This window comes from Homo sapiens, chromosome 4 (genome assembly GCF_000001405.40).
Source record: "Homo sapiens chromosome 4, GRCh38.p14 Primary Assembly".
NCBI lineage: Eukaryota > Metazoa > Chordata > Mammalia > Primates > Hominidae > Homo > Homo sapiens.
In genome coordinates, this window is record NC_000004.12 from 52,739,665 (window position 1) to 52,756,142 (window position 16,478).

Consider the following 16,478-nt stretch of genomic DNA (forward strand, 5'->3'; position numbering starts at 1 on the left):
GTTTCTCATAAAGGGACAGGTTAGCAATTATGTAACTATGTTATGTAACTAGTTTACACATATAGTAGAGTTTAACAAATAAGCAAATAAATCTTAGCTAATAGGAGACAGGTTTCTCAGCAACAGAAAAGTTACAAATAAGCAAGGGGTAAGGTGAGGCTAGAATGAATCCTGTGGTGCTGAGAGTTGGAGATATCAGTATAAACTCGTTTATTTCAATAAACTGTAGGTATATATGTATAGGTATCTGTGTATACATACAAACATTTCCTAGCTGTGTCCACTGAGGGGGCCTACACAGTGATAACCTAGTAGCAGTAGCAATGAGCACATCTTGTGCCCAGATCTTGGTTTCTAAAACCATTTTTCAGTACAGGGAACAATGGTTTCTTGGGAAAAAAAAATCACTGATTCTAGGGCTGGGCAGGAAAAATAAAAGATGAGCTTGCAGCATATTGGAGCGCTGGAGAGTAAGGAAGTGCTGAAAAAAAAAAAATAAGGCCAAACAAACAAAAAACACATAGGGAGAGGCATGTCAAAAGGAAACAGGAACAAATTTTCCAAGAGCTCTCAAAGGCCAAAGCTGCAACACTTTGAGCAACAGTATGATAGTACTGGATTACAACCCAAAGAACAATGTATATATCCATGAGTCCACACTGATAAAAAATATTGGATAACAATTTTCCTTAAGTAAGCTTCTAATTAATAAATGTATCAGGAAATAGGAAGGTGAAACATCTGGTGAACCTTTGAGCTGGCTAATAAATGTTTTTGCCAACCAACCTATTTTGTGTTCCTTCTGATGCATAACAATGGAAAGAGGATTTTTTTCCCCTATGAGTTTTGAAAATCAGAAATACCTTTGTGTCCATCACCAGTAATGTTGAAACTATTTTCTATAACTTGTCATGCCCTACAAACCTTACTTTAATCAAATATTGTGCAGCTTAACACACCTCATAATCAGTCATGCTATTTGATGAAACTTTATCCTTTTAATAAGACATTTTCTAACATTCCAATGACTGCCCCTTTATTTCATATTTCCTCTTCACTTTGTATTCGTACTTGACATTGTGAAATGAGGACCAGGCCAGGTGCGGTGGCTCACACCTGTAATCCCAGCACTTTGGGAGGCCAAGGCGGGCGGATCACCTGAGGTTGGGAGTTCGAGACCAGCCTGACCAGCATGGAGAAACCCTGTCTGTACTAAAAATACAAAAAATTAGGTGGGCATGGTGGTGCGTGCCTGTAATCCCTGCTACTCAGGAGGCTGAGGCAGGAGGATCACTTGAACCCAGCAGGCAGAGGTTGCGATGAGCTGAGATTGTGCCACTGCACTCCAGCCTGGGCAACATGAGTGAAACTCCGTCAAAAAAAAAGGAAAGAAAGAAAGAAGGAATGAGAGAAAGAGAGAAAGAGAGAGAGAAAGAAAGAAAGTAAGGAAAGAAAGAAAGAGAGAGAGAGAGAAAGAAAGGAAAGGAAAGGAAAGAAAGAAAGAAAGAAAGAAAGAAAGAAAGAAAGAAAGAAAGAAAGAAAGAAAGAAAGAAAACCAAGTACCACAAATACCCAATACTGAAAGTTGCATTTCTTTTAATGGCTTCTCTAGTTTCAATGCATATTGCATAACAAACACAGGAAGTCCTATATCTTTCAGCTCAAGGAGGCTTTCTCTTGTGTCCTATATTGCTGAAAGTTTTTATTACCTTCTTTTGTGTGTGTGTGTGTGTGTGTTTTGTGCTTTTTGGGGTTTTTTTTTGAAACAGAGTTTCGCTCTTGTTGCCTAGGCTGGAGTGCAATGGCATGATCTTGGCTCACCACAATCTCCGCCTAGTGGGTTCAAGTGATTCTCTTGCCTCAGCCTCCCGAGTAGCTGGGATTACAGACATGCACCACCAGGCCTGGCTAATTTTGTATTTTTTTTTTTTTTTTTTTTTTAGTAGAGATGGGGTTTCTCCTCGTTGGTCAGGCTGGTCTCCAACTCCTGACCTCAGGTCATCTGCCTGCCTTGGCTTCCCATAGTGCTGGGATTACAGGCATAAGCCACTGCACCCAGCCTACCTTCTTTTGATATCAACATTACTATGAACAACAAACCCATCTATAAGGGTTCTATTGTTCCAGAGTATGAGTTTTCTTTTCTTTATCTTTTTGAGACAGAAGCTCACCCCATCACCCAGGCTGGAGTGCAGTGGCACAATCTTGGCTCACAGCAGCCTCGACCTCCCAGCCTCAAGTGATGCTCCCACCTCAGCCTCCTGGGTAGCTCGGACTATAGGCACATGCCACCACACCTGGCTAATTTTTTGTAGAGACAGGGTTTCACCAGGTTGCCCAGGCTGATTTCCAACTTCTGGGCTCAAGCGATCCACCTGCCTCAGCCTCGCAAAGTGCTGGAATTACAGGCATGAGCCACCACACCCAGTCTGTGCTTTTTTTTTTTTTTTTTTTTTTTTTTGCCACAGAATCTCACTCTGTTGCCAGGCTGGAATACAGTGGTGCGATCTCAGCTCACCGCAACCTCCGCTTCCTGGGTTCAAGCGATCCTCCTGCCTCAGCCTCCTGAGTGGCTGGGACTACAGGTGCCTGCCACCATGCCCAGCTAATTTTTGTACTTTTGGTAGAGATGGGGTTTCACCATGTTGGCCAGGATGGTCTTGATCTCTTGACCTCGTGATCTGCCCACCTTGGCCTCCCAAAGTGCTGGGATTACAGGCGTGAGCCACCGTGCCCAGCCATCCATGTTTTCTTAATGTAACTTGAAATGATTATTCTGTTAATAAATTATCAATCTGCTATGTTCATAAATTTGTTTATGTGCAACCTTAAAAAGGAGGTGAGAATCTCACAGTCCATTCCTCTTACATGTGAATCACTTTCAATTGTGAATGGCTTTTCCTGTTTTATTTGCAAATACATACACATATACATATCATTTCCCCTTTTTTAAAATAAAAAGTAACATACGAGGCTGGGTGCAGTGGCTCACACCTATAATCCTAGGACTTTGGGAGGTTGAGGTGGGCGGGTCATGAGGTCAGGAGACTGAGACCATCCTGGCTAACACGGTGAAACCCCGTCTCTACTAAAAACACAAAAAATTAGTCAGGCGTGGTGGCAGGCGCCTGTAGTCCCAGCTACTCAGGAGGGAGGCAGGAGAATGGCATGAACCCAAGGGGGCAGAGGTTGCAGTGAGCCGAGATTGAGCCACTGCACTCCAGCCTGGGTGAAAGGGCCAGACTCTGCCTCAAAAAAAAAAAAAAAAGAGTAACATACTAGGTATGCTGTTCTGCATCTTGCTATTTTTCAGTAATAGTATAATCTTTAGCAAGCTATCTACCCTTTGAGTTGATTAATCTGTAAAATATGAACACCGAGAGGATTAACTAGAAAGATGCATGTAAGGAACTCACCAGAGGACTGGGCAGAGTGAAGCATTTGATATAATAGATGCCACCTCAACACTCCCTGCATCCTACTTCCACCTGCGGCCCATTTCATAAGATGGCTAAAATGCATATCAGACTAATATTCCATTAGACCACTAAAATGCCCATGGGAAATCAGGAAAGCTCAGATCATACCAGCCTAAATTATTTGTGGCTTTCTCCCTAAAGTAAGTTTTCAGTCAATTCTGATGACTACCCAATATTTATTCTTTGAGACAAATTTAAGGACATAGTTTTGTGTATGTGTACATTGGATTCTTCTACCTTCAACCAAAATCAAGGGAACAAAATTCCCTTATCTATTCAAACACACTCTTTGGTCTATCCAGAAGCCTACAAAGTGCTGTTGGGAGAAACTATCCTGCCCCCAACTTAGTTCCAGTGTTTGGGGGCTTGCAAATTAACAGATCAATAGAAAAAACATTTATTATATATGCATGCAAGAACACTACAAAGAGTAGCTCTCTGAACAGCAAGGGGTAAGGGTTTACAGATCAGCTTTATGGTGTGTGTCTTAAGGCTTCAGAATGAAACTACAAAAAGTTCTGATAAGGCTTATTTACAATACCTTGGGAGGTCCTAGTGCTAAGTGCCCTTATAAGAGGAACACTCAGAGGAGGGTTTTGGCAGCTGAATTCTCGGTAAGACCTGCTTTACTCATCAAAGTTTAGCTAAGGCTTTTTGTCTGCAGCTGCTGTTTGTTCAGATATTCTCAAAGTAGACTTGTGTCATATTGATGGGTTGTTAGTCCCTTCATTGCCCTATTTGAAACTTGACATGAAGTTTCACTGACAAGGAGCTGTGCTGATTGCTGTGGAGATAAGGCTAGGTTCAGAGGTTGGGAGTTAAGGGATCTGCGAGATTTGCGAAAGACACGAACATAGATTAAAACAAAGATGAATAAGCAGAAAAGAACAATTAAAAGCACATAGCCCCATGATCTGAACCAGTCTCCCACTTTTGCAAATATGCCTTGCCAATCAAGTAACGGTACATTCTTCAGGTTCTCGGATGCTTCGTGGAGACGCTGTATATTAGACTTTATTTCTTCCGAATAATTTATATAGAGGCAACACTGTTTGCCAACAGTTCCACAAGCCGTTTGTCGTTGGGTGGTCGGTATATCCAAGACATGATCCTTTCGGGATGCAGAGGCTAAACTGCTAACTTTTGATTGGTGTGCTTCCAAGGTCTGCTTAGTGGCACTGAATTCCTGTTCCATTGCTTTGGAAATGTTTAGAATTGCCTTTTCTAAATCATAAGTTCCCAAACTTGGAAAAAGGGCCCTTATTGTTGAATTGTCCTTGGGGTTGCAATACAGAGGTGGATTGTCTGTGTCTCCTTGGGTGCATCTATGCGGTGTTACTTTATGAATGAAGGATCTCAGGTTTGTAATTTGGCTAGCATTTAAGGTGAGGTATCTGGTGAGGGAAGGTACAAGATACCCAAGTCCACATCGCCCAGACCATTTAGGTGGAAACCCTTTGTACACCCCATTGCCGCACAAAAAAAAGAGGCCAGAGTTGTTCACAGACAAGGTCAGATTGGAACCTGTGAGCCACCAGGTGGGGGTCCGGTGTCCATCATGACCTTTGTCATTAGTTATGCTGGCATCTGCACATCTCCATTTCCCATGTGCCTCTGTCAGGCCATAAGAGCAAAATAGGTTGCGAAATAGCTGGTACAGAAGGCCTTTGGTTTGGTTTTGGCAGCTATAGAGACAGGTGTCATTACCTGACCAGGTCAATCCAGAATTTCGATCTACCCATTTGTAGTCTTGGGTATTGGGCAGACCAATCAAGGGAACAGCTGAGCTGTTCCAGGTCCGGTTTGTGCAACCTGCAAACCAGGAACATTGTCTAGTGCCTAGGCAAACACTTGTATCATCATCATCGTTCCTGGATTCATTTGTAACATCTATAGAGGGCATGAAGGTGCCATCTGTAGAATCAAACCATAGTATTTGATTACAGTATTGTTTAGGTATATTACCTAGGAAGGGTCCACTGCCATTTTTATTTTCTACGCAAAGAGAAAAATTTCCCTCCAATAACCTTACTTGAGCAAAGGATAGACCTTGAGCTTCCATGGAGGCTTCCCAGTGCCAAGTCACTTTACGATAGGAGGAAGTAGAGTGATTCTGTACTTCTGCTTGTGGATACCACACCCTTTCATACATCCATTGTCCAGAATAGGTCCACCAGGTGCTTGCACTGGCAGGAACAAAAACTAGTTCGGGTTGTTCTGCATTATCTAGATGTTCACATAACCAGCAATTAGACTGATTAGTCAAGATAGATAGTGTCCGGAAAACTGGAGCAAGCAGGTGCTGAGGTTGTACTAGAATTGTCAAAAAAGCAGTAAGGGTTAGTTGAAGCAGGGCATAGTTTGAAAGGGAGCCCATAGTGGAGGAACAGGCTAGATTAAAACAAGCAAACTCCAGACAATGGAGATTCAATGAAAGGGGAGGGTTTTGTTTAAATTTCTAAGTCAGAGAATTTTCCAGGTTGAGGAGGGAAGATGTTTCAGCTAGTTGGAGATGGAGATGAAGTTCTTGGTCTGAGATACTGAGTAAAGCTGTCTACTTCATCTGCTCATGGAGCCTGTGAGTAGGTGCCAAAATTCCTCAATTTGAGGTAACCCATAGCCTTGGCCTTCCAGTTGTCATATAATGATCTCAATCTAGCTTCCTGTGGCTTGTACAAATTCAGGAATTTTATTTTGATGACTATGTAGGTGGTTAGCAGTACTTCATAAGGTCTCTTCTTTTTCCAGGGAGGTTACAACACATCTTTTCTTCTAAAAACTTTCAGATATACTTGATCACCTGGTTGAAAAGATGGCAGGGTCTGTTAGTGAAAGCCACACATTTTTACCTGTTGAAAATATGCTCCAAGTATACTAATTATTGTATATAATTAGTCACAGTTTTGAATTGTTCACTGAAGTCCTCACAATGCACATTCAATCTATGAAAGTTTTAGAGATGCCAGTAGGCACAGAGTAGCCAAAAACTATTTCAAAAGCAGTCAGTCCTCCTATTTGGAGTATTCCAGACCTTTTTTGTTTGTTTCTTATTTTTTGTAGCGATGGAGGTCGCACTTTGTTGCCCAGGCTGGTCTGGAACCCCTGGCCTCAACTGATCATCCTGTCTCAGCCTCCCAAAGTATTGGGATTACAGCCATGAGCCACCATACCGGTCAGTATTCCAGATCTTTATAAGGACCAAGGGTAATGCTTCTGGCCGTCTGAGTCCAGTTTATTGACAGATTTTTTCCTAGAGTTCATTTTATGTTTAGATTTTTATGTTTCACTTGCCTTGAGGATTGAGTATAGTAGGGGGTATACAATTTTAATGAATATCCAAGAGTTTTGCAAGTAACTGATTTAATTCTGCGTAAAGTGAGTTCCTTTATCTGATTCAATTCATAAAGGAATGCCAAAACAAGAAATAATCTCAGTTGTTAGTTTCTTTTCCACTGTTATGGCCTTAGCACATCTAGTTGGATAGCACAGTCCATCCATTAAACATGCAGTGAGAACAGTCTAAGGCTGGAGACAAATCTATAAAGTCCATTTAGAGTACCATAAAAGGCAGTGTGGGTCTTGGAAGACTCTTTGCAGTATGCTTACCATCTCTAGAGTCTTGGTGAGATTTACAAGTACTGCACTGGGAAATAATTTGATCAGAAATGCTATGGATGCCAAGAGCCAACTGTCTTTTGGCTCTTTTTGGCTCTTTTGATCATCCTATTCACACATATGTAAATACCTTAAAATTTTCTGTATACTAATTATGTTCTGACGTTTGGAAAACCTTTCCAGCTGAGGGCCGGGCACGGTGGGACACACCTGTAATCCCAGCACTTTGGGAGGCTGAGACGGATGGATCACTTGAGGCCAGGGGTTCAAGAACAGCCTGGCCAACACAGCAAAACCCCACCTCTACTAAAAATATAAAAATTAGCTGGGCATGGTGGTGTGCGCCTGTGGTCCCAGCTACTCGGGAGACTGAGGGAGGAGAATCGCTTGAACCCAGGAGGTGGAGATTCCAGTGACCCAAGATCACGCCACTGCACTCCAGGCTGGGTGACAGAGTGAGACTCTGTCTAAAAAACAAAACCAAAAACAAACAAACAAAAAACCTTTCCAGCTGAGGAGAGACTACCTTTCTTAGGGACTAGCCAATTCTCAGAGATAACAAGGGGCCAACCAGGAGCATGTCTTTGATATACAAACTAATCAATCCAGAGCCATACCTCCTCTATCTGGCCCTTACACACATGTAAGCAATTATTTGTCTGCCTTAATCATCCCAGGGCCAAGTGCTATGCAACTAGGGGACAACCTCTACAATTTGAAATCCATTGAAATTATTCAAACTAGCCAATCCTAAGCTGTTCACCCTGCCCTGCCTCTTCTTTCCCATGGAGGTTAACATATACATCCCTGGCCTTGAGTGAAATGAAATGACCCAGGCCACAAGCGCATGACCAGTGGGACTGGAGGGTTCCTTGGTGCATTTGTCACCAAGGCCCGAATCTGGCTCTCTTAACAGAAAGGCAATTGACACCCATGGGCTCACTTAGCAAAACAGCTGCTTCTAATGGGGATTGCAGACTTAAAGAAACTGAGATGCAGCCGGGCACAGTGGCTCATGCCTGTAATCCCAACACTTTGGGAAGCCAAGGCGGGCGGATCACCTGAGGTTGGGAGGTCGAGACCAGCCTGACCAACATGGAGAAATCCCATCTCTACTAAAAATATAAAATTAGCCAGGCGTGGCGGCATATGCCTGTAATCCCAGCTACTCGGGAGGCTGAGGCAGGAGAATGGCATGAACCTGGGAGGTGGAGGTTGCAGTGAGCTGAGATTGTGCCATTGCACTCCAGCCTGGGCAACAAGAGGGAAACTCCATCTCAAAAAAGAAACTAAGATTCATGAGCTGTGGACCAGGGAGCAGTGCAGGGAGTAGTAGCAAACCCTGTAAAAAAAAAAAATCTTAAATCACCCTTTCTTGTGCCCCTTTTAAGGTTGACACAGTGCATTAAGCAGAAGGGTTAAGTAAGTCTCCATAAAACCCAGAGAAGAGAATGTAAAGCTCCTCTTTGGAGGAGCTAGACTCCTGTCTGGAGTCACAGCTGAACAAATTCCTTACAGTTTAAGCACATTTGTGATATTTTTGCATATCACATATGATGCATTCAAACTTAACCTTAGCTTTGACAGTGCATAAAAACCAAGTGTTGGTATTTGACACTGTAAGCAGTAATGGCCCAGCAGAATAGTATAGACTGCTTTCACCTGAGAACATCTGAAGACTGGCTGACTCTGGTCATAATGCCTCCCAGAACCAGATTTCAATGGGTACGGACATTTGAACTGTTACCTACTTAGGCCATGGAATGTCTCAAGTTACTCAAACTCACCCGCAAAGGCCTTGCGTCACTTGCGTTCCTCCTGATCTCGAAGGCAGGTGTGCACACTTAGCAGCTGGCTGTTGCTACCAATGGATTCCCAGTTGTGCTGCCTTTGCCTAACCTCTACATGCTCTCCCAGGCATAACCACAGAAACCTTCACTGAGATATTGAAATTAGCATTAACCACCCCACACACCTGTTTTTATTTACTCAGTTTTGACAAGCCTTTCCGTGTATATTGCTGTGAAAACAATGAGATAGCTGTAGGTATTCTAGGACAACTTTCTTCCTCTCAGGTAAGTTGCATAGCATATTTTTTTTTCTTTTTTTTCCTTAGAAACAGGGTCTCACTCTGTTGCCCAAGCTGGAATGCAGTGGTGCAAGCATGGCTCACTGCAGCATCGAACACCTGGGCTCAAGAGATCCTCCCACCTCAGTCTCCCCTGTAGCTGGGACTACAGGCATGCACCACCATACCTGGCTTCCTTTTTTAAAAAAAATTATTTTTAATAGGGACAAGGTCTGGCCATGTTGCCCAGGGTGGTCTCAAACTTCTAAGCTCAAGTGATCCTCTCATCTTGGCATCCCAAAGTGCTAGTATTATAGGTGTGAGCCACCATGCCCGGCCTCATAGCATATTTTTCATGTCAGTTGGATCCCGTGGTATCAGGCATGCTCCTATGCCTATGTAGTGACCTCAGCTGCCATCCTAATTGACAAAGCCATTAACCTTACAATAGGTTCTCTTATTTACCTTTGTTTCCCATTCTGTGTCAACTCTTACAGTTCCATAAAAGAGTGCCTTTCTACTTGACAGACCAACCCCTCCTCATCTTGCAACTCTGTAATGCTCTAAACCTGTACCTCTCCCTGATGGAGAACCCCACTCCACATCACATGATTGCCTTACAGTCACAGAGTTGGCTTCTAAACCACAAGAAGACCTCTTAAGATACTCCTTGAGCCATCCACACTTACTCTGGGCCGGGTGTGGTGGCTCACACCTGTAATCCCAGCACTTTGGGAGGCCGAGGTAGGGCAGATCACCTGACGTCAGGAGTTTGAGACCAGCCTGGCCAACATGGTGAAATCCCATCTCTACTAAAAAATACAAAAATTAGCCAGCGTGGTGGCTTGTGCATGTCTTCCCAGCTACTCGGGGGATCACTTGAACCCAGGAGGTGGAGGTTGCAGTGAGCCGAGATGGCAGCCTGGGCAACAGAGCGAGGCTCTGTCTTAAACAAACAAACAAAAACAGACTTACTCTATCCTGTGACAACTCTTATAAACAAAATTCTCAGAAAGATAATAACCAGCTATGACATAGTGAGCTTGTACACTGGTGAAAGAGAAAACGTACACTACTTACACTGACTAGGTATACCCTGGGACTCTGCCATGTCCTTGGCAGTTTGGAAACCCCATAGATGATGATGATGATGATTTGAGACGGAATTCTTCTTATTATTATTATTAATTGAGATGGAATCTCACTCTGTTGCTCGGGCTGGAGTGCAGTGGTGCGATCTCCGCTCACCACAACCTCTACATCCCAGGTTCAAGCAATTCTCCTGCCTCAGCCTCCCGGCTAGCTGGAATTACAGGCATGCACCACCACGCCTGGCTAATTTTTGAATTTTTAGTAGAGATGGGGTTTCACCATGTTGGCCAGGTAGGTCTCGAACTCCTGACCTCAGGCAATCCGCCCACCTCGGCCTCCCAAAGTGATGGGATCACCGGAGTGAGCCACTGCGCCCTACCCCCCCATAGATTCTCGACCTCAGCATATACTCCCATCACCAATGGGCATATAATTGTTATCCTATTACAGTCTATTTATTTTCCTACATAAATTATTATTGTTCATTGCGCAACACTTAGGAAACTGATAGAGTATCTTTATGGAATTGTAGGGCTGAGAAAGCTGCTAAATGGGCAGGCAAAAATGGACTCCCTGTCTCTCCTCCACCCAGCTTGCGACCCTCCTCTTATCTCTGACTCACGTTCATTGTCGGGCAAATGCCCCACAACCTAAAACAGACATGGCTACCAAAGGGGGCCAAGCAGTTATGCGATGGATTAGACATGGGACCAAATGGACTTCTTTGGCCACTGTGCTCACAAAGGGGAGACATAGGAGAAGCTCAGGAAAAAATAAAGCGTTATACTCACAAGTCCTAAAGACAGGAACCATGCCAACCATACAGGGCCACATGGGAAAGACACCAGGATGGTCAACAGGCAGAAGATCATCGTGAGGGAAAGGTTCAGAGCACAGCCTCTATTGCCTTCCTGTTAAGCGAGCAGGATTCAGACACCAGGAACCCTCCGGTCCCACTGGCCACGTGCTCAGGGCTGGGTAATTTCCTCCCGCTCAAGGGTAGGAACATACCTGCGCTTAAAACTGAGGCTGCCGCACCTCCGCAGACGTAGACAACGAATTCCTGGAGCCCAAGGTCGGCCGGGGTTGGGTTCCTGTCGCCGCACGCGTGGCCCGCCCGAAACCCGCTACAAAGTAGCGGCGTGTCTGCCCTAGGGAGGCAAAGCGCAAACTTGTTACCGCGCCGGGACCTGCCCCGGGATTCTCCCAGCGGCTCCGCAGGACGCAGCGCCTGTGCCTCGCGCGGCCCTGGGACGGGCACGGCCGTCCGCCCCCTGGGCCGCCGAGGGCTGCTTTACCCCTCCGTTCTGGCCGCGGGCAGCAGAGGAGCTCGGGGCGGGCAAAGCTCGAGGGGACACGGGGCGAGCCCAGACCCTGCCTGGGAGCCCTCCCCGCCGGAGACCAAAGGGCAGAAACGCACTCACAGTGCAACTCCGAGGGATAAACTGGCCGACGATCGCCGCCAGGCCAGAAGACCAAGAAGAAGGCTCGCGGCGGGAACTGAAGTGAGCGGGGACACACGAGGGCTGGGAAGATCCTGGGTTGGGGCGGAGCGGGGCTGGGAAGATCCTGGGTTGGGGCGGGGCGGGGCACCGCAGAGCGGACAGCCGGATTCAGGCACCAGGAACCCACCGGTCCCACTGGCCAGGTGCTCCGAGCTGGGTGATTTTCTCCCGCTCAAGACTAGGAACATACCTGCGCTTTCGGCGCAGGGAAGACTCTGGGCGAGGGCGGGGCTGGGAGGAGGGCCGCGGGGCAGGCAGCCAATCCCAGGAAACTTCGGGACGAGGGCAGGACGGGGGCTGGACGGGCCCAGCCATTGGCCACCTGTGTCCACTGCCTGCCTAGGTCTGGCTTCCTAGGTCTGGCGGGTGAGACACAAGGCGAGCCTGCACGAAGCATCCTTCGAACCTCAGGTACCCTGGGCAGGAGAATCGGCTTCTTCAGGCATCCTGCTGGGCCTTGGCCCTCGTCGATCTGGTTCTCTCAGCCCCTCGGTTTCTCCCCTGGGGAGACTTCGCGATTACCCTCTCCTCCCCTTGGCGCCTAGGCTCTCAGTCACGCGACCGCCTAGAGCCCTGAGCTGCTATTTATGCCGCGTTTTTATTCACTTAGGTATTCAGCACGCCTTCATCAGGTGTGTACTCTGTGCCAGGCAATCTTCTAATCCTTAAATGGACGAAACAAAGGCCTCCCTTGGACTGACATTTTTAATGAAGAATAAAAACCCATAATGAAATATAAAAATATTAACGTTATAAGAGCTAAGGGAAAAAACATGTGTTACAACTTGAAAATACAAAAATAGGAAATCATCTTTCTCTGTGGACGAATGAAACCCCTGATTCTAAGAAACAAAGAAACAAAACTCATCATGACTGGTGTTCTGTACTCTTTGGAAAATACGTTTTACTGTAGAAATGACTAAATGCGATGAAAGACTCTTTACCAGAAGCAGTGGCTGGTTGGCGGCGCCTGTACGCCTGAGGAGCACCCTTTTTGTGTCCATGTTTGATAAAGCAGAAGAGACCTAAAGAGACAAGGGGCGGCCGGGCGCGGTGGCTCACTCCTGTAATCCCAGCACTTTGGGAGGCCGAGGCGGGCAGATCATCTGAGATCGGGAGTTCGAGACCAGCCTGACCAACATGGAGAAACCCCGTCTATACTAAAAATACACAATTAACCGGTTATAGTGGCGCATGCCTGTAATGCCAGCTACTTGGGAGGCTGAAGCAGGAAAATCGCTTGAGGCAGAGGTTGCGGTGAACCGAGACTGCGCTATTGCACTCCAGCGGGCAACAAGAGCCAAACTCTGTCTCAAAAACAAACAAACAAACAAACAAACAAAAAAAAAACCACAAGGGCCATCGCTCTGGGGCGTGGGACATATGGTCCGCAGTTGGGATACTAACTGTTGTATGGATGGGGGAGTGGTCCTCAAACCCTGGAGCTTCTCAGTCCCTGCCTCTTTCAACCTCTAAATGGGCCCACTGCTTTTCCCTTCCCACTGTTCTGCCGGCTGGAGCACCCCCAGCACCAGCAGCGCGGCTCCCACGCCTCTGGTCTGGGCTCTGCCAGCCCCACGGGTCTAAGCTCTCCCCAGGCCATTATTTTTTGTCTCCTCTTTCTTCATTGAGGTCCTCTCTCTGTCACTTGCTCTTTTGCCTGGCTCAAGACATGGGTTTAAACACTGTTTATACTACCCCTTGCTAATGTTGACTCACTACCCCATATCTTTTTCTTTTTTCTTTTTTTTTCCAAGTAGCACTCTTTGAGATGTCCTTTTATTGATGTTTCTTTACACGTTGTTTTTACATGCATTACAGTGTGATGAACATATCCATCCACTGAAATAACATTATTCTCAACTACGCAAAAGAAAGCAATACTCTTAGAAGAATCCTTTCTGCATATGTCTTTAGACACTTTTACATTCATAACACTGGTCACCAACCCATTTCTATGTTTAAGTAACTTGACTTTTTCTCCTTCTCCCTTTCTCTACCTATTAAATTCACATTTTATTTTACCCCAAGCTACTTTTACCTAGTACAGTGTCTATGTTTTTCACTGTAAGATTGAGTAAGGCCAGAGATGAGGAGAATAGTGATTGTGAAATAAAATGAAAGATATACTCAATTCTTGGGAGCAATAGCCTTGTTGTTGGGTTATGTTTATTCATTTATAAAACTAATGAGAACCTACCATAGTCAAGCACTGTAGTAGACCTGAGAGAAAATAGTGAATAAAACCCCAAATCAAGGACCTTGCCCTTGTGGAACTTTTAGTATAGTATATGGAACAGGCATTGATACACGAATCCTGTATAAATGTAAAATTACCACTTAAGAGCTGGAGTGGTGGTGTCAGGGACCTAGCTGTCAGTTTGAGGGAAGGATGATTAAGCACAAAATTGAAGATCATTTTATAAAGCAAAAGAGTGGAGCTTGGGGTATAGGTAGAGGAAAGAGGATGTACAGTGTGTGTGCTCTAGGAAGGAGCTCACTGTATCCATGGACATGTAGAAAGGCTGCCATGACTTTCTACACAAAAAGCCAAGGGGTGAGGTGGGGTGGAGAGAGATATAGGATAAGGCATGATATAATCTGGGCTACAGAGGGGATGTGGCTGGAGATGCTGGTGACTGCCAGACCATGCTGGACTTTGTAGACCATGTTTAAAATGTCCATAAATGATGCTCATTAATAATGTGTTGTATAAATGCATGTCAATAAAAGTTGATGTTTGCAAGACCAGCATGTGTTCAGGCCAGCATGTTCACAGCTAATAATAGCTAACCATTATTGCACACTTATTTCATTCTTTGCACTCCTTTAACTGCTCTGTATAGATTATCTCATTTAATTTTTCCAGCTACTGTACCCAATAGGCAAGATTAAATTCCTCATTTTAGGCAGAGTGTGGTGGCACATACCAGTAATTTCAGTGTTTGGGAGACCGATGTAGGAGGATCACTTGAGGCCAGGAGTTCAAGACCAGCCTGAGAAAAATTAGCCTATTGTGGTGGCATGTGCCTGTAGTCTCAGCTACTCAGGACGCTGAGGTGAGAGGCAGTGAGCTATGATAGTACCACTGCATGCCTCGGTGACAGAGCAAGATCCCATCTCTAAATTTTTTTTTTTTTTTTTTTGAGACGGAGTCTCGCTCTGTTGCCCAGGCTGGAGAGCAGTGCTGTAATGTCTGCTCACTGCAACCTCCTCCTCCCGGGTTTAAGCGATTCTCCAGCCTCAGCCTCCTGAGTAGCTGGGATTACAGGTGCGCATCACCATGCCTGGATAATTTTTGTATTTTTAGTAGAGACAAGGTTTCACCATGTTGGTCAGGCTGGTCTCGAACTCCTGACTTCATGATCCACCCGCCTCAGCCTCCCAAAGTGCTGGGATTACAGGGGTGAGTCACCACACCTGACCTCTAAAAATTTTTTAAAAAATCTTCATTTTGCCCTTGAGGATCCACATATTGCTTTTTTTTTTTTTTGAGATCTAGTCTATTCCCAGTCCAATAGTGTAGATGGTTAGTAAACATATTAGGAGTTCTGAGCACATCTAATCAGTGTAGTAGCTCGTGACTCAAATGCCACTCTAACAGTTGCACATGTGTGCACAAACACAAATTTAGAAAATTGAAATTACAGCTGCAATGGCAAGACGGTAGACACAGAATTCCATGGCAGCATGGAATTCTCAATTTCTGTAACTTTGAAGGTGCTTTTCTTTAAAAAATTGTGGGTCTTAATTTGGAATGCTTTAAAATACAGAATTATATTAAGGCAGTCATATTGGAAGATGCATGTTGACCTGCTGAACCTAAATAATACAGCTTCCTCTCCTGTAGGATTTGATGATATGGATTTTAAATAGTGCTTTTTCTTTAAAAAAAGTTCCTTAAAATGATTACATATTATCCATTATGCTTAGCATCCAATGTATTCTATGAAATCACTATATAAATTAAAGTAATAATTTATACAGTATGGTCAGACTAATTAGCATAAGGCACTCAGTTGAAAGTAGAGCTGAAATAAATGATTGAACTCTATTAAAGAAAATTGAGTGAAGAGACAGACCAGCTTCTTCTGTAGCATGATTTTAATGAGGCTGCTGAGTTGAGTTCTGTTCTGTATCAAAAAGGGAACACAAATCTCTTGAGGTTCTATTTCTGGCTCTACCAAAGGCTTTGCTCTTATACCTAGAGCAAGATGGAACCTGTTACTTTTTTTCAATCTGCAAAATGCAGGCAATGTTTTTAGCTTTTTTCACAGGAGTAGCAGGATTAATGAGTACCACAAATGGCTTTCCCTATTTTGTAACTGCAAATGCATTCTTGTTGCCATATTTTCATGAGAAATGAACATCTGCTGGTTTTTTCCAATAAGGCTAAAACTTTCAAATGTGGAATATGTAGGTTATGAGCTCCACTTTAAAATTCCAGTTCCAAGTTTAAACAAAAGGAGAATAAGATAAATATTTCAAGTACTAACAAAACAGTAAAGAAGGAAGTGAAAGTGTTCTTATAAATGGAGATCTTTTTTTTTTTTTTGGAAATCTATTTATTTTCGGTAAGATTAGTAAGAGTATCTGAAATATGTTATTAAAGCTTATGTTGAACGAGGCTGGTTTGCTGGAAAAGATAATTTCAAAAGTAAATTGGTATGTCCATGGGAATTAATATGGCAAGCCTGTTGAGAAGTTTGTAATTTGTTA

General features: G+C 44.4%; 1 protein-coding gene, 1 long non-coding RNA gene and 1 other non-coding gene across 4 annotated transcripts; 2 read left to right on the plus strand and 1 right to left on the minus strand.

Annotated features, from left to right (window-relative positions):
- Nucleotides 1-2,888: 2,888 nt before the first annotated feature.
- On the minus strand, nucleotides 2,889-11,761 carry ERVMER34-1 (endogenous retrovirus group MER34 member 1, envelope). Of its 2 annotated transcripts, NM_024534.6 has the most exons (4): nucleotides 11,679-11,761; nucleotides 11,266-11,405; nucleotides 11,046-11,165; nucleotides 2,889-6,279 (listed from the first exon to the last, which is right to left on the minus strand). In NM_024534.6, the coding sequence occupies exon 4, from the start codon at nucleotides 5,854-5,856 to the stop codon at nucleotides 4,165-4,167; it is 1,692 nt and encodes a 563-aa protein (NP_078810.1). In that variant the 5' UTR covers nucleotides 5,857-6,279; nucleotides 11,046-11,165; nucleotides 11,266-11,405; nucleotides 11,679-11,761; the 3' UTR covers nucleotides 2,889-4,164. The 2 variants fall into 2 exon arrangements, with proteins under 2 accessions (NP_078810.1, NP_001229619.1); NM_001242690.2 differs by lacking the exon at nucleotides 11,046-11,165.
- On the plus strand, nucleotides 8,473-8,595 carry LOC124900185 (small nucleolar RNA SNORA26). The gene has a single exon (XR_007058532.1). It is a non-coding gene; the product is annotated as a small nucleolar RNA SNORA26 (small nucleolar RNA).
- LOC107986281 (uncharacterized) lies at nucleotides 11,303-13,893 on the plus strand. Its single transcript, XR_001741691.2, has 2 exons — nucleotides 11,303-11,759; nucleotides 12,370-13,893. It is a non-coding gene; the product is annotated as an uncharacterized LOC107986281 (long non-coding RNA).
- The last annotated feature ends 2,585 nt before the right edge of the window (nucleotides 13,894-16,478 follow it).